Source organism: Homo sapiens, chromosome 2 (assembly GCF_000001405.40).
Source record: "Homo sapiens chromosome 2, GRCh38.p14 Primary Assembly".
NCBI classification, from domain to species: domain Eukaryota; kingdom Metazoa; phylum Chordata; class Mammalia; order Primates; family Hominidae; genus Homo; species Homo sapiens.
In genome coordinates this window covers 219485295-219512005 of record NC_000002.12, presented here as the reverse complement: position 1 = coordinate 219512005, position 26711 = coordinate 219485295, and the positions used below count along the sequence as shown (strand labels likewise).

At 57.8% G+C, this 26711-nt stretch overlaps 4 protein-coding genes and 1 long non-coding RNA gene across 37 annotated transcripts in view, besides 13 other annotated features; 1 reads left to right on the top strand and 4 right to left on the bottom strand.

The window, feature by feature from the left end:
- ASIC4 (acid sensing ion channel subunit family member 4) overlaps positions 1-4913 on the bottom strand; it is a 31680-nt gene extending 26767 nt beyond the window's left edge. The window contains exon 1 of the mRNA XM_047444917.1: positions 4400-4913. The gene's annotated coding sequence lies outside the window, so the exon portion shown is untranslated. The remainder of the gene's footprint in view (positions 1-4399) is intronic.
- ASIC4-AS1 (ASIC4 antisense RNA 1) overlaps positions 1-26711 on the top strand; it is a 35355-nt gene that overhangs the window by 5081 nt on the left and 3563 nt on the right. The window lies entirely within an intron of this gene.
- Positions 5-299: a silencer, noted in NCBI's record as "tiled region #4906; HepG2 Repressive non-DNase unmatched - State 20:ReprD". NCBI's record gives its function as "represses a minimal TATA promoter and a strong SV40 promoter by Sharpr-MPRA in HepG2 cells {active_cell/tissue: HepG2}" and the evidence as "EXISTENCE:reporter gene assay evidence [ECO:0000049][PMID:27701403]".
- Positions 1658-1802: an enhancer, noted in NCBI's record as "145 bp enhancer 279/280 fragment used in the MPRA reporter construct; PK_construct_4319". NCBI's record gives its function as "activates an SV40 promoter by MPRA in K562 cells {active_cell/tissue: K562}" and the evidence as "EXISTENCE:reporter gene assay evidence [ECO:0000049][PMID:23512712]".
- Positions 1722-1739: a transcriptional cis regulatory region, noted in NCBI's record as "GATA motif; enhancer activity is reduced when this motif is scrambled". NCBI's record gives its function as "necessary for full MPRA enhancer 279/280 activity {active_cell/tissue: K562}" and the evidence as "EXISTENCE:site-directed mutagenesis evidence [ECO:0005528][PMID:23512712]".
- Positions 1997-2046: an enhancer, noted in NCBI's record as "active region_17154". NCBI's record gives its function as "activates an Ori minimal core promoter by ATAC-STARR-seq in GM12878 lymphoblastoid cells {active_cell/tissue: GM12878}" and the evidence as "EXISTENCE:reporter gene assay evidence [ECO:0000049][PMID:35858748]".
- Positions 5017-13115, bottom strand: GMPPA (GDP-mannose pyrophosphorylase A). Of its 15 annotated transcripts, XM_047444030.1 has the most exons (14): positions 13068-13115; positions 11991-12050; positions 11788-11885; positions 10427-10530; positions 9969-10155; positions 9565-9624; positions 7793-7923; positions 7138-7152; positions 6644-6778; positions 6451-6548; positions 6245-6291; positions 5934-6026; positions 5584-5752; positions 5017-5308 (listed from the first exon to the last, which is right to left on the bottom strand). In XM_047444030.1, the coding sequence occupies exons 2-14, from the start codon at positions 12028-12030 to the stop codon at positions 5208-5210; spliced, it is 1278 nt and encodes a 425-aa protein (XP_047299986.1). In that variant the 5' UTR covers positions 12031-12050; positions 13068-13115; the 3' UTR covers positions 5017-5207. The 15 variants fall into 15 exon arrangements, with proteins under 15 accessions (XP_047299986.1, XP_047299982.1, NP_001361224.1 ...); XM_047444026.1 differs by having other exon boundaries at positions 6245-6548; positions 12752-13115; NM_001374295.1 differs by lacking the exon at positions 7138-7152 and having other exon boundaries at positions 12752-13115.
- Positions 13046-13235: an enhancer, noted in NCBI's record as "active region_17153". NCBI's record gives its function as "activates an Ori minimal core promoter by ATAC-STARR-seq in GM12878 lymphoblastoid cells {active_cell/tissue: GM12878}" and the evidence as "EXISTENCE:reporter gene assay evidence [ECO:0000049][PMID:35858748]".
- Positions 13240-14057: an enhancer, noted in NCBI's record as "H3K27ac-H3K4me1 hESC enhancer chr2:220362671-220363488 (GRCh37/hg19 assembly coordinates)". NCBI's record gives its function as "activates a minimal SCP1, AML or CMV promoter by ChIP-STARR-seq in naive H9 embryonic stem cells {active_cell/tissue: H9 hESC(naive)}" and the evidence as "EXISTENCE:reporter gene assay evidence [ECO:0000049][PMID:30033119]".
- SPEGNB (SPEG neighbor) lies at positions 13719-15875 on the bottom strand. The gene is made up of 5 exons (NM_001286811.2): positions 15789-15875; positions 15524-15651; positions 14890-15197; positions 14145-14286; positions 13719-13955 (listed from the first exon to the last, which is right to left on the bottom strand). Exons 2-5 carry the CDS (start codon positions 15649-15651, stop codon positions 13817-13819), a joined length of 717 nt encoding a protein of 238 aa, NP_001273740.1. The 5' UTR covers positions 15789-15875; the 3' UTR covers positions 13719-13816.
- Positions 14058-14875: an enhancer, noted in NCBI's record as "H3K27ac-H3K4me1 hESC enhancer chr2:220361853-220362670 (GRCh37/hg19 assembly coordinates)". NCBI's record gives its function as "activates a minimal SCP1, AML or CMV promoter by ChIP-STARR-seq in naive H9 embryonic stem cells {active_cell/tissue: H9 hESC(naive)}" and the evidence as "EXISTENCE:reporter gene assay evidence [ECO:0000049][PMID:30033119]".
- Positions 14066-14145: a silencer, noted in NCBI's record as "silent region_12357". NCBI's record gives its function as "represses an Ori minimal core promoter by ATAC-STARR-seq in GM12878 lymphoblastoid cells {active_cell/tissue: GM12878}" and the evidence as "EXISTENCE:reporter gene assay evidence [ECO:0000049][PMID:35858748]".
- Positions 14876-15693: an enhancer, noted in NCBI's record as "H3K27ac-H3K4me1 hESC enhancer chr2:220361035-220361852 (GRCh37/hg19 assembly coordinates)". NCBI's record gives its function as "activates a minimal SCP1, AML or CMV promoter by ChIP-STARR-seq in primed H9 embryonic stem cells {active_cell/tissue: H9 hESC(primed)}" and the evidence as "EXISTENCE:reporter gene assay evidence [ECO:0000049][PMID:30033119]".
- Positions 15694-16511: an enhancer, noted in NCBI's record as "H3K4me1 hESC enhancer chr2:220360217-220361034 (GRCh37/hg19 assembly coordinates)". NCBI's record gives its function as "activates a minimal SCP1, AML or CMV promoter by ChIP-STARR-seq in primed H9 embryonic stem cells {active_cell/tissue: H9 hESC(primed)}" and the evidence as "EXISTENCE:reporter gene assay evidence [ECO:0000049][PMID:30033119]".
- Positions 15694-16570: a biological region, named in NCBI's record as "Sharpr-MPRA regulatory region 15624".
- Positions 16245-16539: an enhancer, noted in NCBI's record as "tiled region #15624; K562 Activating DNase unmatched - State 8:EnhW". NCBI's record gives its function as "activates a minimal TATA promoter and a strong SV40 promoter by Sharpr-MPRA in K562 cells {active_cell/tissue: K562}" and the evidence as "EXISTENCE:reporter gene assay evidence [ECO:0000049][PMID:27701403]".
- Positions 16390-16570: a silencer, noted in NCBI's record as "fragment chr2:220360158-220360338 (GRCh37/hg19 assembly coordinates)". NCBI's record gives its function as "represses an EF-1alpha promoter that drives an FKBP-Casp9 reporter gene in an ReSE screen in K562 erythroleukemia cells {active_cell/tissue: K562}" and the evidence as "EXISTENCE:reporter gene assay evidence [ECO:0000049][PMID:32094911]".
- Positions 18377-26711, bottom strand: part of SPEG (striated muscle enriched protein kinase) — a 58787-nt gene continuing 50452 nt past the window's right edge. For 17 of the 19 annotated variants that reach the window (XM_011510479.3, XM_047442893.1, XM_047442892.1 and 14 more), the window contains 11 exons: positions 26529-26660; positions 23696-23812; positions 23341-23508; positions 23106-23228; positions 22785-22952; positions 22067-22670; positions 21358-21597; positions 21050-21273; positions 20137-20212; positions 19746-19895; positions 18377-19412 (listed from right to left, as the gene is read on the bottom strand). In XM_011510479.3, the coding sequence (XP_011508781.1) occupies positions 19220-19412; positions 19746-19895; positions 20137-20212; positions 21050-21273; positions 21358-21597; positions 22067-22670; positions 22785-22952; positions 23106-23228; positions 23341-23508; positions 23696-23812; positions 26529-26660 (2195 nt within the window). In that variant the 3' untranslated portion in view covers positions 18377-19219. Of the gene's footprint in view, positions 19441-19745; positions 19896-20136; positions 20213-21049; positions 21274-21357; positions 21598-22066; positions 22671-22784; positions 22953-23105; positions 23229-23340; positions 23509-23695; positions 23813-23832; positions 25177-26528; positions 26661-26711 lie in introns of those variants that run through there. The other 2 variants (XM_047442891.1, XM_017003159.3) reach the window with 2 other exon arrangements.

Below are 26711 nucleotides of genomic sequence, written 5' to 3'. Positions count from 1 at the left end.
GCTCATCTCTTGACCTTTCCCTCCGCTTCTCACCAGGCCCTCTGGCCCCCTCCCTGTCTCTCTATACCCCCTTTGCCTCTGGCCCCGTCCCCTCTCTCCTCCCTCTCCCCGCTTCCCTGCCTGCCTCCCTCTCTGCCCGGCTGCAGTTGGGTGATAATCTCCCTCATTTAGCCTCCCGGCTGCTTCCCCGGCTCATTGCCCAGCTGGTCCCTGGGGCCCGGCCCAGCTTCTTCCCCACCCCCACCCCGGCCCTGCGCCCAAGCTCCCCCACCCCTCCCTGCTTCCCCCACCCACTCCCGGGGGACCAGCTGCCCCTTGCAGTGAGGCATCAGGGACAAGTGTGGCTGGCCAGGCCCTGAGCTGGGTGTGAGCAAAGGGGGCAGGGCTGTTAGGGACCCTGGACTGGGAGTGCCGGGGAGCTGGGTGTTGCGGGGTCAGAATGTGAAGCCTCATCCCAGGTTCCTTTGCTCTCTGGTTGTCCCCATTCCTCAGATTTATTCCCAGTCCAATTCACCTGCCTCCGCCCCCCAGGGGATGAGCTTCCTGACAGTGAGAATGAGTGGTAGATGGACTGGGACGAGGTTTGGTAACAGGGCAGAATGTGGGGGGGGGGCAGTGCATGCAGTCGGGGGGAGAGACAGGGAGAGCAGTGGGTTTCTGGCTCAAGGTTCCTGGGAGGAGGCATGGAGATTTTGTTTGGGCAAAGTGCCCCAAAGGCAGACCCAGAGACCTCCCAGGATCCAACCTGGGGGGTTCCAAGGGTGCTTTCTCAAAGCACAGGAACCCCCAAGCTGATGCCCAGATTCCTTGCCTGGCTGGCCCCATTCAAAAATGCTGTGACCCCCTGAACTCCTAGACAGCATTCTCCAAAAGATGCCCAGCCTCCCTCCCCCTGCACCCAGAGGACACCCTCCCCAGCCCAGACACCTGGCCCTGGTGCGGACCAAGTGATGAGCCAGTGTGGGACAGATGTGGGCGGTAAGGGACAAGGATGGGGGGGCTGGGGCTGGGCTGGTCCAGGCCTGGCTGGTGAGCACACAGCGGTGACAAACGGGCTGTGCAGGGGCCGAGGGGCGGGGGGCGGACGGCGGCTGATTTATCTGGGTTATTTATGCCGCGGACGAGGCAGGAGAAGCGGTTAATGAGAGTCCCAGAGAAGGGGGGTGGGGAGTCCCGAACGTGATCTGAGGCGACTGAAGAGGGTTAGCGTCCCACCGCCAGGCCCTGCCCCCACTGTCCGCCAGTACTCCTTGCACCCCCACCCCATCTTTCTAGGGCCAACCCAGCCCAGCACCTTCTCCCGAGTTTCATACCAACACTTCCCATCTCCTTTCGGGTACTCCCAAGCCAAGGCAACGGGTCCCTGGGACTATAAGGACACCAGGTCCAAGATGGGATGGGGGCATCAGGAGGAAGTGGGGAAGACACCAGGAAAGGGAGGGCAGGAAGATGAAAAATCCTGGCTGGCCAGAAACTAACAAAGTCTGTGGGGCCTGCGGGGGAGGGCTGGGATGGACGCAGCCATCGTGGGAGTGGGTGTGCAGCCGACAACCTCGGAGCTGAGGCTGCAGAGGGCAAAGGGCATGGGGTACAGAGGCGGTGTCAGCCAGTAGCCACAGCGGGGGCCTGAGTGGCAGAGACAGGCTGGCCGGGAGGGGGTGCTGGTCAGAGAGCGGAGAGAGCTGAGGAAGGAGGGGGAGAGGGCTTTGCAGCAGCGAAAGCTGCTGGGAGCAGATAAGGCGGCACAGCAGCAGGAGGGATTAGAGCTCCGAGGGGCATGTGGGGAGCGGTGTGGGAATTGGGGGGTGGGGCAGGGAGGAGAAGGTTGAGGGCAAGACACTAGGGCCAAGGAGATAAGTGGGAAAAGTGAGGGCTGTGAAGACGGCAGGGTTTCATCAGGGGCCAAGAGGTGGTCATCGACGGGGAGAGGAGAGAAGGAATTCCTGATCCTTCTCTCCTCTGTCCTAGGAGAGGGGGACTTTTCTGCCATTGACAGAGCCCCCGCCCCCCACACCCCATGCATGTCAGGGGCAGCAGAGGGACGCACTACCGAGGATCGAGAACGGGCGGATTTGGGGGTGGGGGCAGTGGCAGGGGCCAACCCTAGCAGCTGAGCTGAAGGCTAGACTGAGAACACACAGCACCCCCTTGAGGTGGCCAGTGGAGCACAAGGGTGCCGCAGCGATCAGCGCTGGCACCGAGACCTTGTAGTGCCCAGGCTGTGGCAAAGATCAATTTCAGAGGGGGCTTCTTCATGGGGAGGGGTGTGGGCTTGGAAGGAGGGCAGATGGCTTCCCAGAGATCACCCCTTGAACTCAGACACCCCTCACCACCCCCTGCCCTCCTGCTCTCTGAGCCTCCCAGGATGTACTTGGGGTGTGTGAGGTCCCCCACTCCCTCCACACCAGAGCCCAGGGCAGTTCAGAGGTGGCCATGGCGGCAGAGGGGAGCCTCAGGGAAGGAAGGGGAGCAGGAGGGGCTGGGGAAGGGGAGCGGGGGTGGCAGGCGGGGCCGGGTAATTGCATGTTTGCCAGTTCTCCCGTCTCTGCACACGAGGGAGCGTGTGTCAGTGGGTGTAGCTTCGCCTCAAAGAGTATGTGTCTGTTGGCAGAGGTGTCAGTGTGTCTGTCTCAGGGGTCTGGGCTCTCCTTGGCCCCCACCCACCCCTTTCCACCCCCTTTGTGTTTTGGGGAGTGCAGCTCTGGGCACACCCAGCTGTGCTCCGTGCGGATGCAGCAGATGTGGTGGGGCCCCAGCTGTGCCTGCTTCCCAGAGAGGGGGAGGGGGCTGCAATCTGCTCCCCCGATAATGGCTGCTAAGTGCCAGGGGGAGGGGATTGAGATGGAGGTGGGACTGGGCCCCCTGGCAGCCTGGCCTAGGGGACTGGAGGGAGATGAGGGCTCTGCCCCCACCCCACCCTGTCCTGGCCAGCCTCCCCCAAGTCTGTGTTCTTGGCTCAGCCTTTCCCCCTCGGCTGGCTCCTGAAGCCCATCCAAATTTCTCTCCACACTCGGTCCCTGTCCCCGGCTCTCCTCCCCTGTCGCCCTATCCAGCTTGGTGCCAGGGACCCACCCCCCTCCCCGGCCCCCAGCTTGCTCCCCCTCGCTGATTTTACAGAATAATCTTTTTATGGAAACTGAAAAAAGCACTAATGGCAGGAGCGCACCCCTCCCCCGCATCCCTCCCCCGCTCATCCCCCACTTCCCACCCCAGTTCCCTCTTGTTTCTCCCTTCCCAGACCCTCCCCGGGCTGGCGCCCTCCTACCCCTAAACAGCCAATGATGGTTGGGCACAGGGTCCCAGCAGCGGTGGACAAAGGGGCCCCCTGCACCCCGTCCAGGGGCAGGTGCTCCATCTTGGGTCTCTCAGAGATGGATGGGACTTTAGGTCCCTCCCAGCACAGAAGTGGGTTGGGGAGGAGTGGGGGGGGCATGTCCTTCTTAGACCCCCCCCAACAATGGTGACTCCTTCAATCTCGGGGGCATGTTACAAAGACCTCTGGGGGGCATGTTACAAAGACCTCAGCTTTGCTAGCGGCACCCCCCTTCAAACACTGACCCTTTCCCCTTCCACTGCCTCTCCCCACCATGTCCCCACCCCCACTGGGTCTAGGAGGGGGATCCCGGGGGCCAGGGCCTGACACAGACTTATTGGATTTCACGGTGTTTTGCTGAGAAAATAATTAAATTATCATATTTATGATGGAGCTGCCATGGCCTCTGCCAACCACTCGGAACAGAAGGGTCAGGACTAGGGGGGAGGAGAGGGAAGGGACCTAGCCCCTGGTCCTATGGCCCACCCTCTCCCAGCCCCTTCCTTGGGGTGATGACCCCAGCCCAGAGTGGGGACCTGCAGCCCCCTCCCACTCCCATGAAGAGAGATAATGAAGGTCTGGGCTGGAGGCCAGGACAGGAGGAACTGAGGAACTAGGGACAGCTTATAGGTCAGGACTGCTAAACCCCACACTGTGTAGATCGTTCCCTACATGCTGGCACACAGCCCACGGGACCTGAGGGGCCTGGGAGGTCACATTTGGCCCAATCCCCAAGTCAACCTCAGTCCAGCTCCTGAGAAGGCGCAGCTTCCTAACTGCCAGGCTATGAAGCTATGAAACCCTGGGCTCTGTCCCAGAGCCTGGTGCTGATAACAAGGCCCCAGCACCCTGCTGCCTGCCACCCCTGCCTGCTGCCAGGACCCCCTCCTTTCTCCCACCCATGCCCTGCACCCCCCATTCTCTTCGGGTAATTAGATTCCTCTCAATTAGCAGATTACGATCATTACCAGCTCATCTGGCAACACAGCTCCACACCCACAGCTGGGGAAGGGGGGCACCAAGAGGGGCACATGGGGGTCATGGGCAAACATGAGAGATGGCTGGGAGAGGAGGGCTGAGACCTACCAAAGGGCAGGGCCAGGGGGACAGGAGGTGGTGAGGGCCTTCCCAGAACAGGGTACCTCCCACTGTGCTTCCGAAGAGAATGGCACCAGCTCAGGCCCACCCAGCCTGCCAGGGGAGTAGAAGACAGAGACATGAGGCCTCGGGCAGAGGCAAAACCCCCACCCTGCCAAAAGCCAAGCTGGGAGCAGATGGAGCTGGCAAAGCGGAAAACCGGCCAGGGCTGGGCTCAGCGGGAACCGAGCAGAGCGGGCTGTGGGGATCAGCCTCTAGGCCTGTGGCCCCAGTTCCTCTGCCTGCTGCCCAACCAAAATCCTTCACCCTTCCCTTCGGAATCCTTGCACATGGGGGCCTGAGCCAGGCCCGGTGAGGAGGAACAGGGAGGCAGGGAGGCAGGGGTGAAGGGGGGGACCAGGCTGGCAGGGGAGCCTAGAGGGCCTTCCTCCCGAGCAGCACGAGGCTGAGGCAGTGGGAGGGGGAGATTTACCAGGGCTCCAGATTCATTATTCATGAGCCCACAGCAACGACTCCAATTTAAATGCTAATGTGGGGGGGCCTGACTCAGCTGCCCCGCTTCCGCCCCCACCCCCAGCCCAGACATAAGTACAGTCTGTGCTGGCTCCAAGGTTCACGGGGTTTATTAGGGAGTCGGGAGGGAGAAAACCCAGGAGTCCCCAGGCCATCCACATTGCTCCCCGGCATGTGACGATCCAGCCTGGCTTTCTCTGGTCCTTTCTGGACAGAGGCTGGCCAAGCAGGCAGCAGCCTCAAGGGGAGTGGGTAGGAGCTGGGGGCCTTCTGGCAGCCCTACTCAGAGGATGATCTGGTTGGTGAAGCTTCGGCTCAGCTCCTTGTGTGGCAGAACAATCGAGTTCAGGATGAGCACCTCGGCAGGGATCCGGACTCGGCAGCCTGCAGCATGGATGAGGGCACCAGGGGAGGTCATGGGAGGGGAGACAGGGGCAGGGAGCTGGGGGCCACTGCCAGCAGGGAGGGAGCCCTCCTGCCCATCTGTGCCCCTGGTCTCATGCCCCCGGTGACTCACACAGGGCCTGGCACACAGCAGGCCCTTGGTAACTGTTTGCTAAAAGAAGAAACACGCGTGCACACAGAGGAACGAATGCTCCCCGGGGCCACTGGCCATCAGCTGAGGGGTTCCCCCAGCCCTGGCCCCCAGGAAGCCATACCCAGGATGGTGATAGCAGGCAGCAGCTTCCCGTCCTTGAAGAGGCTCTCACTGTCCATGCGGGCTCGGGGATCGTTGGGGTTAGGGTCACTGGGGGTACCCTCCACGCGGGCCCAGCGTCCCACGGTGCTCCCCCAGCCCACGATGCTATGCAGAACACACGTGTGCTCCTGCCAAAGAGGACAGTGAAAGGTAAGGGGAAGAGGCAGGAGGCAGCAGGAACCGGAGGGTGTGAGGTGTGGCCAGATGCAGAGCCCACGGCGTTCACCCTTCTCTGTTCTTGGGGGGATGCCTGGGCCCTCCCCGCAGCCTCTTGGGGTGTCACATGCTGCTGTGTATGCTGGTACCTACCTGCAAAGTGGCTCCATGGAGGACGATGCTCTCCCGGAGCCGCACACCCTCACCCACGGTCACCCCCTTCCCGATGGAGACGTTGGGGCCCAGCTGTGGAGAGAAGCACACACCATAAGCCCTGGAGGGACTTGGAGGATCCCCAAACCCAACTCCCTTCTAGAACAGATAAGGCATAAGTGACCTGCTCGAGGACACACAATAGGCTGTGACAAAGTGAAGAAACCGGCACCCAGAACTCAGGCAGCGTGGGCACCCTCCATCCATCCGACCACCACCCTTCCCTCCCTGGGGCTGGGACCAGTGCTCACCACAGCCGAGGGGGCCACCTTGGCGGTCGGGTGGATGTACACATTCCCTAGAAGCAGAAGAGAGGCCCTGGGGGCAAATATCCCAAACCGAATTTGATCAGGAAGGGGCAGGGATTGAGGCTTTAACTCTGGACTCGAGGTCAAGAATCCTGGTTCAGAGGGCTGGGGTGGAAGCCAAAGGTTAGGAATTGGGGCAGGCTGGGTACCTCGGATCCATGGGCCCCCTGGGGTGTGCTTGGCCAGCCGTTCTGGGTGAGTGTCCTGGTATCGGCTCAGGTAGAGGCGGGAGGCGTAGAGGGCTGAACTGGGGACCGCAAGGGGGACAGGGGCTCAGGGGTCAGCAGGGCCTGTGCCCACCACCCCAAAATTTCAATCCCCAGGGGACCCAGCCTTCCATACCCTGCGGACTTGATCTGACTCCAGATACCATCAGTGAGATGCACGTATATCTGGCCCTGCCCTGCCAGGGCTGAAAACACATCCTGCTCTAGGCGGATGGTACCTGCCCCTGGCCACAAGCCTGGTGAGTCCTCCCTGGCAGAGAGGAAGAATGCTGACATTAGTCCCCCAGCTGAGCCCCGACTGTGGGGCTAACACAGTCTCCCAGGGACAGGAGTAGGAGGATTCCCACCACCTCTCTAAGCCCCTCTCTCCAGGTCTGGTTCGGCCCTCTCTGGGATGTGGCTGCTCACATCCCAGGAACCTCTCCCACCCAGCCCCCACTTGGGTGGGTGCTATCACAAGGGAGCCCCAGGCAGAGGCCTGCTTCCCATCCCTGCCCCATTTCCATAAGGAGTTCCCCCCATTTTCACATTCTCATCCCCATTCAGCCCTTTACCCCCTCCAAGTTACCCTCCCCCTCATTGGATGGAATGAAACACAGACAGACTCACCCCAGAGCAAGGCAGCTGGTGAGGGCAGAGACAGTCACAGAAAGAAAGGGAGAGAGAGATGGTAGAGATGCCAGCTCAGCAGAGACAGAGACAGAGAGGCCAGGAGAGATGGAGAGGGAAGCAGAGACACGGGTGGGAGTGAGAAATGGCTATGAGCAGAGGAGGCCTTAGATGGGGCGGTGGGGGGTTAAGGCAAGGATCCCTAGAAGGGAACAGCTTCTAGCCCCAGGAGGGAAGACCCTGGGACTGGTGAGCAGGGCTCTGGTGCTATGTTCCAAGGGGAGCCTCAGCCTGAGAGTATGCATGTCTGTCTGTGTGTGCACGTGCACACGTCTGCACCCGAGCATGTGTGCGCCCAACTGTGTGTTGCTGTCTGTTCTGAAAGACGTCTCTGGGACACTCAGGGCTTAGGAGAAATGGACCAGAAGGGGAGTGGGCAGGCAGTGACAGAGGAGGAACTGGGATGGATAAGGAAGAGGGACAGAATGAGGTTAGAAGGGGAGGGACTCAGGAGGCTCTGCTGGAGATGGCAAGTGGAGAAGGGAGAGGGGAGGAGGAAGGTGAGCAAGTTGAGATGGAGCCTGCAGAGACTGGTATGTGTTGGGGTCCGTGACTGGGGGTACTTGGGGTCACAGGGCTATGGGGCCTGCCTCACAATTGCCCATCCTGCTGATTACGCTGGAAGACATCCCGAAGAGGCTTCAAGGCTTCAGGAGAAAAGAGGTAGATGCCGCAGTTGATGATGTCACTGATAAATGTGCTGGGTTTCTCCACATAGTGCAATACCTGAGGACAGAGCAGGCTGGGTTCAGTAGAAGAAGGGACTACCGCCACAGTCCCCTAAGACCCTCTGATTTCTAGGCCCTTCTTGCCTCTCCTCCCTGCTGCCAGGGTGGCCTGGCTAAAATGCAGTGCGCATCCGCATCCTACTGCTGCCTGGCTTTAAACCCTGAGATGACTGCCCTTCACCTGATTCAGCTTCAGATAAATCCAAAGTCCATGGCTTTCCCTGCCTGATCCTCCCCACCACCTACCTCTCAGACGCATTTCCACCCGACTGCATGCCTGTGCCTGGAATGGCCTTTCTCATCTCTTCATCTGGAAAGCCCACCTTTCCAAACCCAGTTGACACTGTCACTCTCTCTGTGCGTCCTCTCTTGCTGGCCCGAGTTAGCTGTTCATGCCTGGGCACTCCTGAACTCTGGCCACGCCTCACCCATGGCATTGTATCATTTGCAAAGGTTGCCTTTTGATTCTGTCACTCCTATTAGACTCACAGTAACCAAGAGGCAGGGACTGCACCCATTTGGCTCTGTTTCTCTCACAGCTACCTGGTGCTGAGCACAAAACTATATGTGTGTAGGTGTGTACATGCATGTGTGTGTGCGTGTTTATATGTATGTTTTATATTAAAGCACGAACAAATAAAAGGAGTATGTGACGCCAGGTATGGTGGTGGCTCATGCCTATAATCCTAGCACTTTGGAAGGCTGAAGTAGGTGGATCACTTGAGCTCCGGAGTTCGAGACCAGCCTGGGCAGTATGACGAAAGCCTGTCTCTACTAAAAATACAAAAATTAGCCTGGCACCTGCCTGTAATCCCAGCTACTCAGGAGGCTGAGGCAGGAGAACGGCATGAACCCAGGAGGCAGAGGCTGCAGTGAGCCAAGATCGCACCACTGCACTCCAGCCTGGGCAACAGAGTGAGACTCTGTCTCAAAAAAAAAAAAAAATCAGCTGGGCATGGTGGCTCATGCCTATAGTCCCAGCTACTTGAGGGGCTGAAGTGGGAGGATGGCTTAAACCTGGGAGGTCGAGGATGCAGTGACCCAAGATCATGCCACTGCACTCCAGCCTGGAAGACAAAGTGAGACTCTGTCTCAAAATAAATAAATAAACACATACATACATAAATAAATAAAGGAGGGAGGGTTATGTGAAAGTCAAGGGGCTTAGGAGAAGGGAGTTTCACAAAACAGGACAGAGCCCTGCTGCCCTGCCTATCATGCTCCTGCTTCTGGTATGTTACTTCCTGCCTCCAGGCCTTTATACCTGCCATTCCCTCTGCCTGTAGTACCTTCCTGTCTCCTTTGTCATCTAGACAAATGGGACTCTGCTCAGACCTTGCTTCCTCCAGGAAGCCCTCTCTACTCCCACCCCAGCAAGGCTGGGTTGGGGCCCCCTTGGTGTTCCCATCATGCACTGTGCATACATTTATTACAGCACCACCCCCAGGGAAATTAACCATTCCCCCCCTCCCCCTGGTCAATCTCTCTTAAAGGGATATAAGATGATTAATCGGGAGTGTCTCACCTGTCTGACAAGACTAGAGCCCACCCCATACTGTGCCAGCATTCTCTAGAGGCCTGAGGTAGAGGGGATGATGACACAGAGTAGGCACCCACCCAGCCCCCACTCTGCTCTCACCTCGTGTGTCTGTGGATTCTCAACGATGCAGCCGTAGTTGAGGGATTGCGTCCTGTTAGCCTGAAAGACAGACACACCCGAGACAGTGACCCGCCTGCTCCAGGGCAGCCACGTCTGTTTTTTCTTTCTTTCCCTCCGCTACAGCACCTGGCATGCAGCTCTGCCACTGACAGGCCTTCAGCAAGGGTGGAAACTGACAGCTGCCCTCCCCCTCCCTACTTCTGAACAGCCAGAGGGCTCGGGGTCTCCACTAACACCTCCATGCTGCCAGAGCAGCGCATCTCCCTCCTGACGCCAGCTCCCACACCAACTCCCGGGGCGCCCCTGCCTCCCCAACACCCTGAATTCCGGGAAGCTCTTGGGATCACCTCCTCTACACCCTCCAGCCCTCCTGACCCCCTCACCGTAGTGCCAAGGAGTAAGAAAGGGTGACGCTGGCGTCGGTGGGCTTCCAACATAGCACTCAAGGGGAAGTCGGAGCAGACATCAGCATTGAGCACGAAGAATGCCTCGGGGCTCCCAGCCAGGATCTGGTCTCGAAAATGGTAAAGACCACCCCCTGTGCCTAGGGGGGCAAATTCCTGCAGGTACCTGTCCCCAGGGACCCGAGAGCCAGCTCAGTGGATCTTAGGAAACAGATACCATGAGCCAGGGCACCTGACCGCCACCGCTTGCTCCCAGGACTACTCCTGCCCAAGGCCCACAGAGAAACTCTATATACTCAGAGATTCATTGATGTCCAAACAAGAATCCTTCTAGTAGGCGAGGATGAACTCCAGCAAATGCTGACTCAACCCACTTCCAAGAACTCAGAGGCCTAGGGCATCCCCACCCCCCCATATACGAGTGTGTGCACAAACACCTGACTGGAAGGTTAAACTCCTGCTGGGCGGCTTCTAGGAACTGGGTGAGGGGCTCATCAGGTTGGTAGAAGCCAATGAGCAGAATCTCCTGCATTCCAGGGACCTGAGGACAAGGGAAGAGGCTGGGATGAAGAATATCTAATAGGAGGGGATGTTGGGGAAATCCTTGGTGCTGGCCCAAAGTCCAGAAACCAGTTTCAGTCTCAGCTGTGGGGCCCCAGGGCACTCACCACTCTGGGCTATTTTCTCCTCTGGACAATGAGGAATTTGGAGGAAGTCGGAGGCCTGATCTTTTTTCGTTTTGTTTTATTTTTGTGAAAAAGGGTCTCGCTCTGTTGCCCAGGCTGGAGTGCAGTGGCATGATTTTGGCTCACTGCAGCCTCCACGTCCTGGGCTCAAGCGATCCTCCCACCTCAGCCTCCTGAGTATTGAAGACTACAGCCATGTCACCACCTGCCTCAGCCTCTAGAGCAGCTAGGACTACAGCCAGGCCATCACATCTAGCTAATTTTTAAACTTTTTGTAGAGAAGGGGTCTCTTGATGTTGCCAAAGCTAGGCTAGAACTCCTGGCCTCAAGCGATCCTCCTGACTCGGCCTCAAAAAGCGTTGGGATTACAGACATGAGCTACCATGCCAGGCCTGATCTTTCAATCAATTATTACCCCCACCAACCTGAACTGGGACTCACTCTAAGAAAGACTTTGCCTACCAAGCTGCATTAATCCATTTCCACCCCGCCCCCTCCCCCCCGGCCATTTTTATTATCTGTCAGCCTAAGCTTGAGATCAGCATGAGGTAAGGGTACCATTTATCAAGGGTCTGCGTTGTACTAGGCATTTTACAAATATCATTTCTAAGCTTCACCACCCAACAAGGTAGGTCTAATCACCCCCATTTTACACATAAGGAAACTGAGTGTCAGAGAGGGTGTGTTATTTGTTGCAGACCTCACAGCAGGCAGAGACTGAATTCAAACCAAAACCTTGCCTGGCTCAATACGAAAAGCAATAAAGAAATGAGCAACAATGTGATCAAGGATATGAATTTGTGCTTGGTTATCATTAAGAGTCTCCATGCTACGGCTTTACATTGTCTCCAAGATCCTTGCCTGATCTCACATTCCACACTTTAAAAATAGGAGTGAAATCTGAGCAGGAAGAGGCCAGATGAGAAACTAGATTAGGGGAAGACAGCAGGGCAGCTGCACAGCATAACTTGAGGGGGCGCCATTCACATTGTCATCTGTGAATGATGGTCCTTGGAGTTATGCCTGGTGGGAAGAGTTCATGGTTGGGAAAGGGGGAAACAGCATGAAGATAAGCAGGAAGTGAGGTGAGAGAGGGGAGCCCCTGAGGTTACCTGGGCACAGGCTTCAATATGGTGTTGGATCATAGGGACCCCTGCCACAGGAAACAATGGTTTGGGCACCTCAAAAGACAAAGGTCTGAAGCGAGTTCCTGGGAGAGGAGAGAGGAGAACATTTCGGCCTCCTGCCTTCCTCTGCCCCCATCCCGCCTACCACTCCAGCCCAACCTCCTCCCCCCATTCCCCTGGCACCTCACCCTTTTGAGGGCCTCCAATCAGGATCACCGCTTTGAGCATAATGGTGACTGCTACCTAAACTTCAAATTCCAACAGAGAAATCAAGCTCAGATCTCCTACCCCAACCAAGCCCCAAAACCCAAATAGCAACACTTAGCCCTCTCCCAAGATGTAAACCCAAAGCTCAATATAGTCTCTGCCTGGACCCAACACCTCACAAATCCCACACATCTCAAATCCCAGCAGAGAAATCAAGCTCAGATCTCACACCCCAACCAAACCCCAAACCCCAAATAGCAGCACTTAGCCCTCCCCCAAGATGTAAACCCAAAGCTCAATATAGTCCCTGCCTGGACAGAACCTCACAAATCCCACACATCTCAAATCCCAACCCAGATTCCAGTCGGCCTTCAAACCTCACAGTGATTCCTCCCAAATTCTGAAATTCACACCCCACAATTTGATCTCTAAAAGACTTCCCTCTGGCCATGAACAAATTCTGCAAATTCAGAAACCTGGCAGAGACTCCCTTCTCAGACCCAAACCTCAAAATACTGAAGCCTCAAATTCCCAAAGTGTTGCGTCTTCATTCTAGATATTAAGCCCTGAACCCCAATAGTGAACCCTGAATATTGGACAGCAAACCCTGAGTGAGCCTCAGATATTTAACTTAAATCCTGAACGTAATCCCCAAGTACTGAACTAACACTGATCTGAATTTGAAGAACCCCTAATCCCAGCAAAAATCCTCTATATGCTAAACATGAATCCTAAAACTAACCTCTGTATGTTGAACCCCAAATCAAAAGACAGGTTCCCTTGGCATCTCAAACACTGAACCTATTGACCCCCCTCCAGTCCTAATACGGACGACTGGGTCTAAATCTCTGGATTCGGAGGATTGATTGATTGCTGACCCTCTGAACCCCACAACTGACTCTGTCCAATAAACCCTGGCCTCTCATTGCCAGGGATTGTGGGACCAACACAGGGGCGGGCGCACCGAGGGCCAGCCAGGACCTCGGAGCCCGCTCTCCGTCTAGAGGGTGTCCCCTGCCCCTTACCCCTGCCGCCACCCCTCCACCAGCTCCCTTTACCACTAGCTCCCTTCACTCCAGCTCTGCCGCCCGCTACTGCAAGCTCCTTCCGCGCACGTGTCTTCTCGCAAGTCGCGAGAACTCATTCGCAGGGTCTGCCGGGAATTGTAGTCTGACCCTTTACCCGCTTTCTAACTTTATGGGAGAGGAAAGAGGTGCTGAAGTCCAGGGGTGTGACCAAGGGATCGCGGGGCGGGGTTAAATGCGAAGAAGGGTGGGGCCTGAGAAGCCCAGCCTGGAACTTAAGACTGGGACCCGAGCTGTTGGGGAATCGGCCTCGGGGCAGCAGCCGAAGTGAGGAACTGGGTCCCACAGGAAAACGGGACTAAGGACAGCAGGGGTGTGTGGCCAGCCCTGGAAGGGGCGGGGCCAGGGGCAAACAGCCACAAGGGGCTGGGGCTGGAGGCGCTCAAAAGCGGAGAAGGCGGAGTCCCAGGCCCAGCCGGCGGTACCGCTGGGAAGTGAGGGCGCCTTGGACGGCGAGGGCAACTCTTATCAGTTTGACTGTCTGAAATGCAGCACGGCGCTAGGCGCTCTCCAGACCTCCCTGTGACTCCAACAGGCTGTGACCTTGGCGTGGGGGTCTGGAATACGTGTGGGCGCTGGTGCGGGGGAGAGGGAATGGCGACGCGGAAGAGCAGGACAGACGCGGAGGGTCAGAGAGCAGCTTTATTAAGCAAGCTGGTGGAGGGCTGTGGGTCCCACCACCCCCGGGCTCGGCGCCAGGGCGGAAGGTCCGGGGGTGCCGTTCAGGCCACGTCGACGCGAGCGAAGCTCTGGTCCATGCCCAGGCTGTTCTCCACGTACACCTCGTACTTGCCGCTGTCCTGAGGCGTGGCCCGGCGAATGGTCAGCGTCGTGGTGGTGCTGCCGATCTCGAAGAACACCCTGCGGAAGGGCGGCGGGGAGGAGGGCGGAGCCGTGGTCAGTACACGGGCGCACTGGGCGGGGCTCCTTAGCCAGCTCTGTTCCTCGCTGCCCAGTCCCCGCCCCCGTCACTCCAGCCAGATTTCTGGGCTCAGTCCCACCCAGGTTCCAGCCCCAGGCCCTGGCCGTGCCGCAGGTCCCGGCCCTCGCCTGTCATCCTCCTCGATGTCCTCCCCGTCCTTGGTCCAGCCTACGTCGGGCGCAGGCTCTCCCAGGATCTCCGCAGTCAGCGTCACGGTGGTGCCTTTGCGCGCCTTAGTGTTGTCGGGTCCCTTTTGAATCTTCGTCGGGACTAGCGGAAGGAAAGGGGAGCGAAACCCCGTGAAGGACCCGGAGATGAGGCAGGGCATCACCTCACCGGCTAATACCCGGCACTAAATACAGATGCATTTAAACTCGCAGTGTGACGTTGAGCAAATCATTAGCCTCTCTGGTTTCATCTCCTTGGCTGTTAAAGGGACTTATCCCTGCCTCTCCTACTTCTCGGGGTCGAATAGAGGATCAAGAGAGATAAGGCGGGCGAAAGCCCCTGAATGTTCACACATCTCGCGGTGCCTCAGAGACCGCTCCGGGTAGTGGAAATTGCCAGAGTTGGGAGCCAGAAGACCCGGGTCCAACCCTGGCTCTGCCTCTGGCTTGCTGTGTGACCTTGGGGACCCGGAGCCGCGTGATGGAAGTCCACAGCTGACTGCTCAGCCCGGGTGGAGCTGGATCCCGAGGTAGGGAAGGACGCACTTGGCTGGCGCGGCGATGCGCCCCAGGCCGTGCCCAGAGCTGGGCTGGCGGGGACCCTGTAGCTAGGCCCAGAGGTAAACACGCGCAGCTGGACCGGGCTGCGGGCTCTGGCTGAGTGGTGCTGGTCTGCGCCCTGGCGCTGCGCCCGGGGCGCGCGTACCTTCCACGAGGATGCGCGCCGAGTCGGAGCACTGGCCGAAGGGGTTGGTGACGTTGATGCTGTACTGGCCCAGGTCTGCCAGCTCGCCGTCGCGCACCACCAGTGCCACCACGTCAGGGTCCTCGAAGACGTAGCGGTACTTGGGACCGTCACGTAGCTCCTTGCCGTCCTTACTCCAGCGGATGAATGGGTCCGGGAAAGCCGAAATGCGGCAAGTGAGCTTGGCCGCGCTGCCTTCGATCAGCACCACGTCCTTCAGCGGCTCCAGCACCCGCGGCGGCCCCTTCTCGCGCAGCTCCTTCCGGGACCTACCCGCGGGCCGAGTCAGGGCCCAGAGTTCCTAAGACAGGCCCGGCCACAGCCCTTACCGCGAGCGCACCATCTCCTACCTGCCCCCTGGACCGGCCAGACCCCTAAACGTGTGGCTTGGTAGGGAAGAGGACTGCTCCTGAACTGCTGCCCTGATAGGATGATGCATTCCTCCCGGCCACTCCCCCATACCTCAGTAACGACCCTCCCCTGAGACCACTCATTCTAAAGGCTCCTGACGCTGCTCAGCGCTTACTCAAACCCTACTCAAGAGTGCGCTCTCTGCAGCTCCCTTCCTCCACAGGGCTCCGGGGTTCCCTCTCACCTGTGGCCCCGGTAAGAGGCCTGGATACGAATGGCCGCACTCTGGACCTGTGGGTCATTGATGTCCAGGGTACATCCAGGAGCTGGGGCCACAGCCACTGGCTTTTTGGCAGGAGCTGCTTTAGACATCTGGGGAGTGGGCGACAAATATGGGGGTCCAGGTTGAGACAGAGGCTCCCACCTTCAGCCCTTTTCCTCCCTGGTCAGAACATTCAGGGAGATGGAGGAATGGGGGTGTCTGCGGCTTCTCTGAGGATCAGACTCACCGTGGAGGGGTTGACCTAGGGACTTGAGTCGACTGGCTGGATTGCAGGCAGCACAGAGCCCTTCTGGATGGCACAGTAGGGGTGCAGGCAGGTGCTCAGCCCTGGGCCCGGTTTTATACATCGCTCCCCTCCTTGCCTTGTTTGGCGTGGTTGCCCCAAGCCCCCCGGGGCCCCATCCGCCTCCCTCTGACTCAGGCAGGCTCTTTATTTAGCCTGTGGATGCCTGGGATGCTGGCTCAGCCGCTGGGCTAGGCCCGTGGGGAGAAACCCGAGCAGCTCTGAGGTGCACCTTGCGTCAGCACCTGGACAGCTGGACAGCTGGATGCTGCCCTGTCCCCTCCCAGGGCAGGGGGTATCCATCCCACTCCCAGGAGGACCAGATTCAGCCCCTAGCTGACAAGAGATCCAGCTTCCTGCTGGGGCAGCTTTTCAATCAGGTTGGGCTCTGGATAGTCAGACAACACACCCTGTTGGTTAAGGGGTTTGAGTGTTTCTGGGGTTTCCCTGAATACAGCCAGAGTAGCATCGGACTTGGTCCTCAGGGCCCCTACAGCTAACGGCAACAGGGCCACGTGGCTGTCAAGACCAATCCAGAAGCTCCTTACTCTTCCCCTACCCCCAACCCCAGGAGTCCAGGGTTGTCACTTCCACACTGTGCCCCCTGGCGGTAAACTGAGATAAACCGGGAGGGGACGGGAAAGATTTTTGAGAATAGCAGCCCCTCCATGCCTTCCCCATCCCCACTCACTCCCCTCGATGTCACATGGTGGGGGCTGTTTAGACTGCACTGTCCTTGGAGATTAGCACCACTACTGGCCCCAACCCTAGGTCTGCCCAATTCCTTTTTGGGGGCATAAATTGGTGCATAGGGGCATCAGACCACCTGGGGTGAAGGGGTTCAGTTAACCCCTCTGGGGATTGCCTGGAGGCCAGTCTGCCCAGGCCGGGCACCGGGCAGAAGCATTGCTTCCATTCATTGGAACTACCCGCCCTAGTGTGGGGGCACTGTCACGTTTTGATCAGAGCAATTTTGACATAGCTCTGCTGACATAAATTACCTTTGCTCCTCCGGGTTTGGAACAAGCAGTTCACATGCCATTTCCAATGGAGATGGGAAGGGAGCTCAAGATCAGAGCGGGGACGGGAGAGGAATTTTACCATTTATCAAGATATGAGTTCAGGCACCTCATTTTTATACAAAACACTTGCAGTGTGTAGGGGATTGGAGATTCTTACAGGCAAACTGTATATCTTCATCGCTAAAATGACAGGTAGGCAAGGTGTCGTTCTGGTCCCTTCCAGCTGGCTTTAACATCCTGTTATTTTATGATGATGGGGCTTGCCTCTTCCCTGGGGTCCTGAGAAGCTAGAGAGGCTGGGCTGGGCTGGGCAAAAGGGTTGTCTGGGCTGGAGCCAAGGGGCCCTCAACCTCCATCAGCAACACAGCAGTGACAACTCTGTCTACCCTGGTCAGAGGCTTTGTTCCTTTTACTTTGCCAAGAACAGAATTTTGAAGGTGGGGATGAGGGAAACATTTCCTCTGGAGACAAGGAGGTCTGGGTCCCTGCCAACCCCCCAATCCCTCGTCCCCAACCTCAGGGCAGAGCAGCTCAGTCCTAGGTCCCAGTGACCATTCTATGGCACGGGTGTGGCTAGAATTGAGGTGCTTTAGCACCCAGCAGACCTCCTAACTTGCCATGTGGACAAGAAGGTCCAGGCTGGTGTGTCCCTCAGCCCTAGGAAAATGCTGGACACAGCAGACTAGAGCACTCCCAGCTGGTGCTCTCCATGTGCTCTGATATGTGCTGTGACATGGAGGGCAAGGGGTGTGAGCCTGTCCTAGTGTTTCTTTTTGAGATGGAGTCTCACTCTGTCATCCAGGCTGGAGCGCAGTGGTGCAATCTTGGCTCATTGCAACCTTCACCTCCCAGGTTTAAGCGATTCTCCTGCCTCAGCCTCCTGAGTAGCTGAGATCACAGGTGTGCACCACCACGCCTGGCTAATTTTTGTATTTTTAGTAGAGACGGGGTTTCATCATGTTGGCTAGGCTGGTCTTGAACTCCTGACCTCAGGTGATCCAGCCACCTTAGCCTCCCTGTCCTGGTTTCTTCTGCAGCTCCTCACACTACCTACTCTCACCAACCATCAGGATGAAACCCACTCTGCTCCAGGGGTCAGGACCAGAGCTCCTGCCTGTCTTCTGGGGAGAGTGAACAAGGCTGAGCCAGGATTGGGGTGAGGGCTGGCCTATTTCAGAGCCCAGCATCCCCCACATTGTGATGAGGGAACACGTGACAAGAGGTGGGGGCTACTAGAGCCTGGTTGCAGGGGTTCAGTGGATCTGCCAACATTCCGGAAACTGCAAGGGGAGAAGCAGACCACAGTCTCCCCTCCCTCCAGGAATAAGGAGAGGTGAGGGGCCAGGAGGGTCACGGGAGGGGGTTGGAAGGACCCAAAGTGCTAGCTGGTATATTCCTGAATGTGTGTGTTGGGGAATACCCAGAGAGGGCTAAATGCCCCTGTCCCGGACTCACCCCTCACCAGCCATCTTCCCCTCCAGCCATCCCTCCCAATAGACACACAGGTTATGCTGCTTGCCATTTTTATTTCCTTGTGGCAGACAGACAGACAGCTGGATGGCTGGGAGGGATGGTCAGGACAACATGGGCAGTAGGGATCGGATGGAAGGGGAAACTTCATAAAAGTCAATAAATAAATAAATATGAATGGGAAGAAGGCCAGAGGCCATGGAGGGGCAGTGGGGACATCCTTGGGCCAGCAGAGCGCCCAGGGCTGTATCCACTGGACAGGAGGACAGAGCGAGTGTGAGTGACTGCTGGCCTCCAGCTCTCCACATTTCTCCTCTGAGGGATGCTGACAGCTGACCCACCCCACCTCCACCTGAGTCCTCTCTTCTCCCTCTGCCGCCTCGCTGCCTTCTCTCATGTCCCAGCCCTGGGCCCCTGCCACTGTATCTGTGTCCTGCCCCCGCTTTGCCACACTGACTCCCAGCCTACTGCCCTGACACCTGGGGCTCCTTCCTTTTCCTCCTCTCCAGCCATGCCCACCTTCCTTGGTTCTCCCTGAGATGCACTGACCCCCAACCCAGAACCTTCCTAGAGCCTCCCCCTTCCTGTCCCTCGATTCCTTTTCCTCTCCACTTCTCCATTCCCCTCTTGTCCCTCTGCCTGTTCCCACCCTGCTGAGCCTGACCAATGGGTCTCCCACTCTGGCTTTGGCCTGGGGTGGCATCAGGTCCAGGCCCTGGGGTCTCTGTCCTTGAAGGTCTATGAGGTAAGAGCCCAGCCAGATGTTGCTGCTGGTGGTAACCGAAGCCCCAGGCCCGCCTGGCTCAGCGTGGGCCCTGGAATGTCCCGTGGCATTGGTGGGAACCCCAGTTGAAGCCCGAGGCCTGGCTGTGGTCCGTGCCTCTAGGGGCCGCCAGGGTAGGAGCGCAGCAGCACCTTGTGGCGGGTGGCAGCCTCAGCCCGGCGCCGCCGCTGCTCGCCCAGGAACTCCTTGAGCCGGTTGGTGGTGAAGGTGAGCGTCTGGCGGCGCAGCTTCATCAGGTAGGCGTCCTGCAACCATGGGTGGGCCAGGCAGTCCTGCAGGGAGGGCCGGCTCCTGCCAGGCAGAGCCAGGGATGATGAACCTGGAAGGAAGCTCTGGGAGCTGCCGGGGCTCTGTCCTCCCGCAGACCCATGTCCCAGTCCTGGATCCCACCCCTACATGTGTGATCTTGGGCAGCTCAAGAGCTCAGTTCCCCAGTCTCCGGAATGGGGACAGTGAGTCTGCCTTGCACGGGGCTGCCTCAGGCTTTAAATGGTGGGTAGTATGACCATTTAGTAGAAGCAGCAGACTTCTTCCTAGGAGCAGGGGAGGAGCTGGGAGATCTCTGGCACAGGCCAGGCCAGGGGCAGGTAACACTGGGGGATAGCAGGTGTGGGGCTCACTCACCAGGGATGTACAGAGAGAACCTTTCGCAAGAAGAGGGTGGCGCTCTGGGATGTATTGGGGTACAGCTGGAAGGCATCAAAGCGGCCCCCCACAATCCGAGCCTCCGTTTCCTGGGGGTCTGGCTCATAGAACGGGGAGCGTCCACTGAGCCTGTTGGGGAAGATAGCTTGATTGACGTATGCAGACCGGAGGCCAACACCCAGACCCAGAAGGACATTAGTGTCAGGTGCACAGTGCTCAGGGCCATGCTACTGTGCACCTGAGTGTGAGTGTGCAGTGTGGATGTGTGTACAGGGGAGGTGGGGCACGGGGGAGAGGGTGTTGGCAGAAGGTGAGTCCGGGAGCTCACTGTATGGGCAGAGAGGGCTGCGGTGGGGTAGGGGACACTCACATAATGTAAGTGAGCACACCCGCTCCCCAGATGTCCGTGGCAGAGCCGATGGGTTCTCCCTTCACCATCTCCGGAGCTGACAGGAGACAGAGGCCAAGCTGACCCAGCTTCCTGGTGGCAGGGAAGTGGGGGCGGGGGAGGTCCCTGGGTGCTTGAGCAGCAGGACAATGTCCTGGTCACCAGACCATGGGAATGTCCAGAGTGGCAGGCCCTGAAGGCCAGTAGGCAGGACAGAGGTGGTGGCATACCCCAAGAGACATATGGGTCACCTGAGGAATTAACCCAGGCACAAAATGGCGGGGTCCCCAGAACTCCAGAGGGGCTGAGAAGCAGGGTGACAAGCTCCCTTGGATCGGCTCCAAGGTATGGCTCCCATTCACAAAGAGTGTGGCTGACACCAAGATTAAAAGCCTTCAAAATCAGCCTGGCTGGCTCTAATCCCAGACCTGCCCCTTCTAGCTATGGGACCCTGGGCGATTTACTAAACCTGCCTGGCTCTCCACAGCCTCATCCGTAAAGTGTGGCCTGTAGAACCACACCAAGGAAGAGAGATCATGAACGTCAAGCATTTAGCAGGGTGCTCGATGGTAGCTGGTTCTCCTTATTTAAATAAAATAATAATTGATTCTCCTGTCTTTTTGGCTGTAGTGAATCCTGCCTCTAGCATTTATAATTGTCTGATTGCACAAATCCCTAACATCAGTACCCCTCAGTTTCCTCATCTGTAAAAGGGGGCTAATATTATGCCACACTCCAGGGTTATTGTAAAGATCAATCCACATACTTCGTTCATTGCTTGAATACAGTAATCACTCAATAAGTGGCACATATGTAAGTGAAGTGGGGTGAGCCCTGGCTGCTGCCTCTCTGGCAGGGCCCTGTCCCCACCCTGGCTGGCAGCTGGTCCCCTCACCCATGAACTCCAGCGTGCCCGTGCGGTGGCCAAGGGGCCTAAGGGCCTGGGGGTTGTAGGGCTGGGCACTGCCAAAGTCCACAATCTTGAGGGCATTGTCAGGGGCCAGCAGCAGGTTGTCTGGCTTGATGTCTAGGTGGAGCACGTGGTGGCCGTGGAGGTAGTCCAGGCCTTGTAGCAGCTGCACCATGTAAGTGGCCACGTCATCCTCAGAATACCGGAACCTGGGAGGGCAGGGATGGAGCAGATGATACCCGGCCCAGCCTCCCCTACCTCTTCCTCCCTACTCCCCTAGAATTCCCAGCTACCTGTCACTGAGCCCACAGAGGAGTTCCCGGTTGCCACAGCTCTCAGCAATGAGCACGAGGTACCGAGGGGTGATGTAGGCCTCGTGCAGGGACATGATCCGCTCGTGGTGCAGGGTCCGCAGCACCTCGTACTCCTGCAGGACCCGCCGCTTGCCCTCGGCAGCATAGGGCACGATCTTGGCCACGAACGTTCGCCCCGTGGCATTCTCCCGGCACGCTCGCACAACACCAAAGCGGCCCCTGTGTGTCGGGGGGAGGGACACCACCGGCTCAGAGGAGAGGAGGGGGACACTTCCATAGTGAGGGCTAACGGAGGAGAGCAGGGACCCCTAGGGGCAAGAATGCAGTGGTTCCAGTGTGGGCTCCAGAGTTCAATCCTAGAAACCAGGGTTCGAGTCCCACCTTCGCCACTCACTGGCTCTGTACCTTAGGTAAATCCCATAGCTTCTCTAACCTCAGCTTTGCCACCTGTGAAATGGGTGATGCTAATAGCGCAGTGTCTCTCAGAGTTGTGAAGATTTGATGAGATCATATGGCTAAAGCACGCAGTGCAGTGTCTGGCACATTTGAACGCAATCATTCTAATAACCCAGGTCTCAGCACCTCCCCCCACCCCAGCCAGGACAGTCTGGTCTTCTCTCCGAAGCCATGTGCTCCAGACATTTGGCCCACTCCCCTCTGTCCTCTTCCCTTCCCCAGCCCTGCTTGCCTGGCTTTCTCCTCCAGGAAGGTGTAGGGTTTCTGAGGGGGACCCTGTCGAAGAGTGGTACCCTCAGGCCTGGGAGAGCTTCGGGGACTGCTCCCAGGGGAGCTGACCACCTCCTTGGCCGGGCTGAGGCTCTGCACAGTCACCTTGGTAGGCTCAGGAGGGGGCTCAGGGGCTGGGGGCTCAGGGGCTGGTGGTGCAGACACAAAGGAAGTCACCACATACACAGGAGTAGAGGAAGACACTGGTTTAACCCCTTGAGGAGTGGAGGCTGGGATCGGGGTCCCAGTGTCAAGGACGAAAGGCTTGGGCTCACTTGGGGTGACGTGGGTACTGGGTAGGGTGGGCTCCGCTGGCCGGGCAGCCTGCAGGCCCCTGTGTCTTCGTGGAGGGGTTTGGGGTGGTGGACCCACAGCCTTGAGCGAGGACAAGGCCTGGCTAGGAGGTGTGGGGGGAGATGAGGGGCTGACAGTGACTGACGGGGGTGTGGGGGCAGCAGGAGCTAGGGGTGGGGCCAGTGAGGTAGGAGAGTCAGGAGGCCGGGCCCTGGCTGGCCTTGAGGTGACAGGGGCCTCTTGGTGGGCAGCAGATGGCACAGCTGAAGAATCTAAGAGAGAGAGAAAATCATCACCGTGGTGCCTTGGGGCAAGGCCATGGTGCTCCACAAGAACCCTAGGCTCAGAGCCCCCTTCCTCCTCCCACCCCATACCATTGCACTGACCTTGAGTACCCCTGACAAAGACCTTCTCAGAAGAGTTGCTGAAGGGCCCCTGCCCAGCACGGTTGGCACAGGCCACACGGAACCTCACAGTCACGCCAACTGGCAGGTGGGTCACGTTGTAGTAACAGTCGGGGATGCCTGAGCTCACAGGGTGCCACACAGACTCCCCTATAGGCAGTATGGGGGAGGGGCTGAGGTCACAGAAGCGGTGGCCCCAGCTCCCACGGTGCTATCTGTGGAGCCTGGGAGGGCACTGGCCTTACCAGACTCCTCTACCCTCCCCCTGCCGCTCCCCCAACCCTCCAGCTGCCCCATCCTCACCATCCACTCGCCGCTCCAGCGTATACGTGCAAGGTGCCCGGCTGTCTCCCGGCTTCCACAGCACCAGCGCCGTGTCCTGGTAGGTCTGGGGTACCTCTGGAGGAGCTAGCTTTCCTGGGACTCCTGGCAAGAGAAAGAAGAGTCCCAGTGAGCCCCTATACCCTAGCTAAGAACCCCTCAAGCCCTGTCCCACCATCCCCATCACTACCCCCCTGGGGCCCTGCCCCAGGCTCACGGGCCACAGCCACGGTACAGGAGCTGGTGATGCTGCCCAGTACGTTGGTGGCCGAGCACTCATAGAGACCGGCGTGCCGCTTGCCCGCCCGGGGGATGCTGAGCAGCTGCCGCCCATCTTTGCAGGACACGATGATCACTGAGGGCTCTGACCTCAAGGACTTCTTGTCTGGGGACAGGGAGGAGCAGGAGTTGCTGCTGAGTGAGGCAGCACATGTCCAGGCCCCCTCACTCACTCCCCACTCCAGCATCCCCCCTAACCGTGCTCAGTCCCCACTCCGGCCTAGCCCCTCCCATCCCCTGGGCTCAGGGCCACTTGCTGGCCTCCCTCTCTGTGGGAGACAGAGTCTCCTTACCTTTCATCCAGGAGATGTGCGGTGCAGGGCAGGCCGCTGGCAGGCAGAGCAGGGTGGCTGCCTCCCCCTCCAGCAGCACCTGGTCCTTGAGTTTGATGTGGAAGACTGGGGGGAAGTCTGGAGGAAAAGCAGAGACAGCCATCTATCTGTAGGGACCCTGGCCCACTTACTGCTGAGGGAGGGGTGGAGAAGGCCTGCAAACAGCCATCAGGAAGCAGCATGAAACTTTGTCTCTTCCCAGGCAGATGTGGAAAGTGGAACCCCACGCCATGCCTTCGATAATTTTCTTTGGGGCAAGCATCACTTTCCCCAGGCCCTCACTGTGTGCAGAACTGCTTTTTCCTTGCACTGACTGCTGACAATGCTACTTATGTCATGGGTTTGTAAATCACTTAGAGCAGGGCCTGGCACTAAGTAAGTGGTCTATAAGCATTTGTTAAATAAAATAAAAGCAAACAAATACTGAAAAACTATAATGGTTAAGATCCTGCAAGACCTACCCTCTCTGGGGCACCACAGGGCAAGTGAGAAGAGAATTGAGATGAGTTAGTGACCCGAGCTGAGATGGGACCAAATGAGGAATGTTCTATCAGAATGTGCAGTCTCAAAAGAGCTGCAGTCTAGGAAAACTGTGGGCAGACCCTGGAAGCGTGTCGGCTTCCTGGCCCCTCTTCCCACCTGCCATCGGGGGACAGGGTCGTAGGTCTTCTGTATACTCCTTCAGGTCAATTAAGTGGTGAGAGCTTTTGAAGGGGCAAGAGACAGTATCTGCCTGACCTTGGGCAAGTCATTTACTCTCTCAGAAGCTCCATTTCTAATCTGTAAATCAAGGAAAATAATCCCACGCCCACAGGATGCTTGCTGTGACAATTACGAGGCATGTAAAGTGTCTGCCATAGAGTAACTGATCATAAATACTAACTTCTCTTGTTGTTATCATTTTCTCAATAATATGGCCAGCAGAGAAGCCTGGAGCAGACAGACCCCCAGAGAAAGGCTGTTCCAGCAAAGCAGAGAAGCTGCCTTCACAGCTAGCTGGTGGCTGTGCACATGCAGGGCTAGGGATGCGACCAGTTTTCCTTCCTCCAATGTAGCCAGCCTGTGCCTCTTTAGTGCCCTGAGGATTTGAGTGCATGATCCCTGGGAATGTCCCTTTAGAAGAATCCCAGCTGGGCCATGGGGGTGGTGGGTGAAGGGTGGGGATAGGGGAGGACTTGGGGGTGGATTTTATTCACCTGGGAAGAGAAAGCTGAGGAGCCTTGTGAGCCCCAGCTGCTGCCTGTCTGAAGAATTGTGGGGGACTGGGAGTGGGGATGAGCCAGGCAGAAGAGGAGTACTCAGCAGGTGTGGTGATCAGGATGGCAGTGTGCCCCCTTCCCGCTGTACCCCACTGCTCCCCAAGGAGGGGTCCCACACTGAGGTTCCAACAAGGCAATGTGAACACAGTTTCTCAATGGCTGCCTCCAGGCCAAGTGAGGGTACTGGGTAGCAGGGAGAGAGAGAGAGAGGCCACCTCTCTCAGAGGTGAAAGTGACCCGGGCCCAGCCCTGCCAGCCCCGCCAGCCCCACCCCCATTCCTAGGTGCCAGCCCTGGTTGTTAAAGTAGCCTGGGACAGCCTTGTTTCTGCAGGGAACGGGGAGCGGATGAGGTAAGGGGACACTGCCTCAGCAGGAAATCAGCTGCATAAGCAAAACTGGGCCGGGAGGGAGGCCCCAGGTGGGAAGGGATCAGCTGTCCCCAGGCCTCTCTGCTGGCTGATCGCTTTCTTTCCCCCTCACTCTCCACCCTCCCCTCCCCACCAGCAGCCCTTCCCTCCATCCTTTTCTCTCACTGCAGCCCCCTTTGCCCTGGCCAAGGCTGGACACAATCCCTATAAGCCCAGCTGAGGCAAGACTCGACAGCCACTCTATTCTGAGTTTTACCAGGAAATGGGGGAAGAACAGGACTGGTGGCTCGTCAAGATCCTGCACACAGCCTGGCTTCATGGACTCGCTCCCTTCCTGCATGCTGGCCTGGAAAACCCAACCTCCCGAAGCCTTTGCTTGTCGTCCTTGAGTAATGCCCCTTTTTCAGGGGGGATGGGGTGACCCCACATGGGGAATGCCTCCCTATCTGGAGCTCCAGGACACTCAGGCAGAGAAACAGAAGAGGGCAAAGAGCTAGCAAAGAGCTCCAAAGGCTGCTTTTCTGTGCAGAAGGGTCAGGGAGGGGCAGTCAGGTGTTCGGAGCTGCAGAGCAATGGAGACTTAGGGGGCACAATCCAGGTCGTGGTCCTCTAGGCTGGAGAGAAAGTGAGTGTCTTTGGGTACACACCCAAGCACACACACATCTAAAGGGGGACTGTGGAGGCAGGAGGGCCCTATATCTTGAGCTCCTTGAAAAGTACAGCCAGTTACAGAAACATTCTAGGGTCTCCCAGGAGAGAGGAGGCCAGCCCGACAGACGTAAGTGGTGTCCTGAAGCCGTTTCAGGGACCTGGCTGCAGAAGGTCACACAGTCCAACTTCAGCTGCTCCACTTACTAGCCCTGTGACTTGGACAGATCCTTAGCATCACTAAGCCCGTTTCCTCACCTGTACAGTAGAGACAATGATACTAATATTTCCCAAACAGTGCTGCAGGATTGAATGAGGCAGTGCTTGTAAAGTGTTTAATAGAACACTCAGCTTATCTAATGAATGTCAGCTACTGCTATTGTTATAGTTGTCTGAGCAGACCCCTTCCACTAGGTTTGTCAAGGTGGCCCACCTCTCACCAGCCATGACTGCTCCCTGATGGGGGTAGGGGAGGGCAGGAGGGGAGGAGGGTCCTCACCCAGCAGGCCTCTTATTACCTGACTCACTGCGCACGTACTGGTGACCCAACTCCTCCTGGACGCTGGCAGAGAGGTTTGGTGGCGATAACCCCTTGTCCTTCCGCGGCCGAGAGAAGCCCCAGCGGAGCCGGCTTCGGCTTTCCCCTGGGGCTGTGAAGACTCAGGCCCGTGAGTATTTGTTCAGTCAGTACCAGCAAGTTC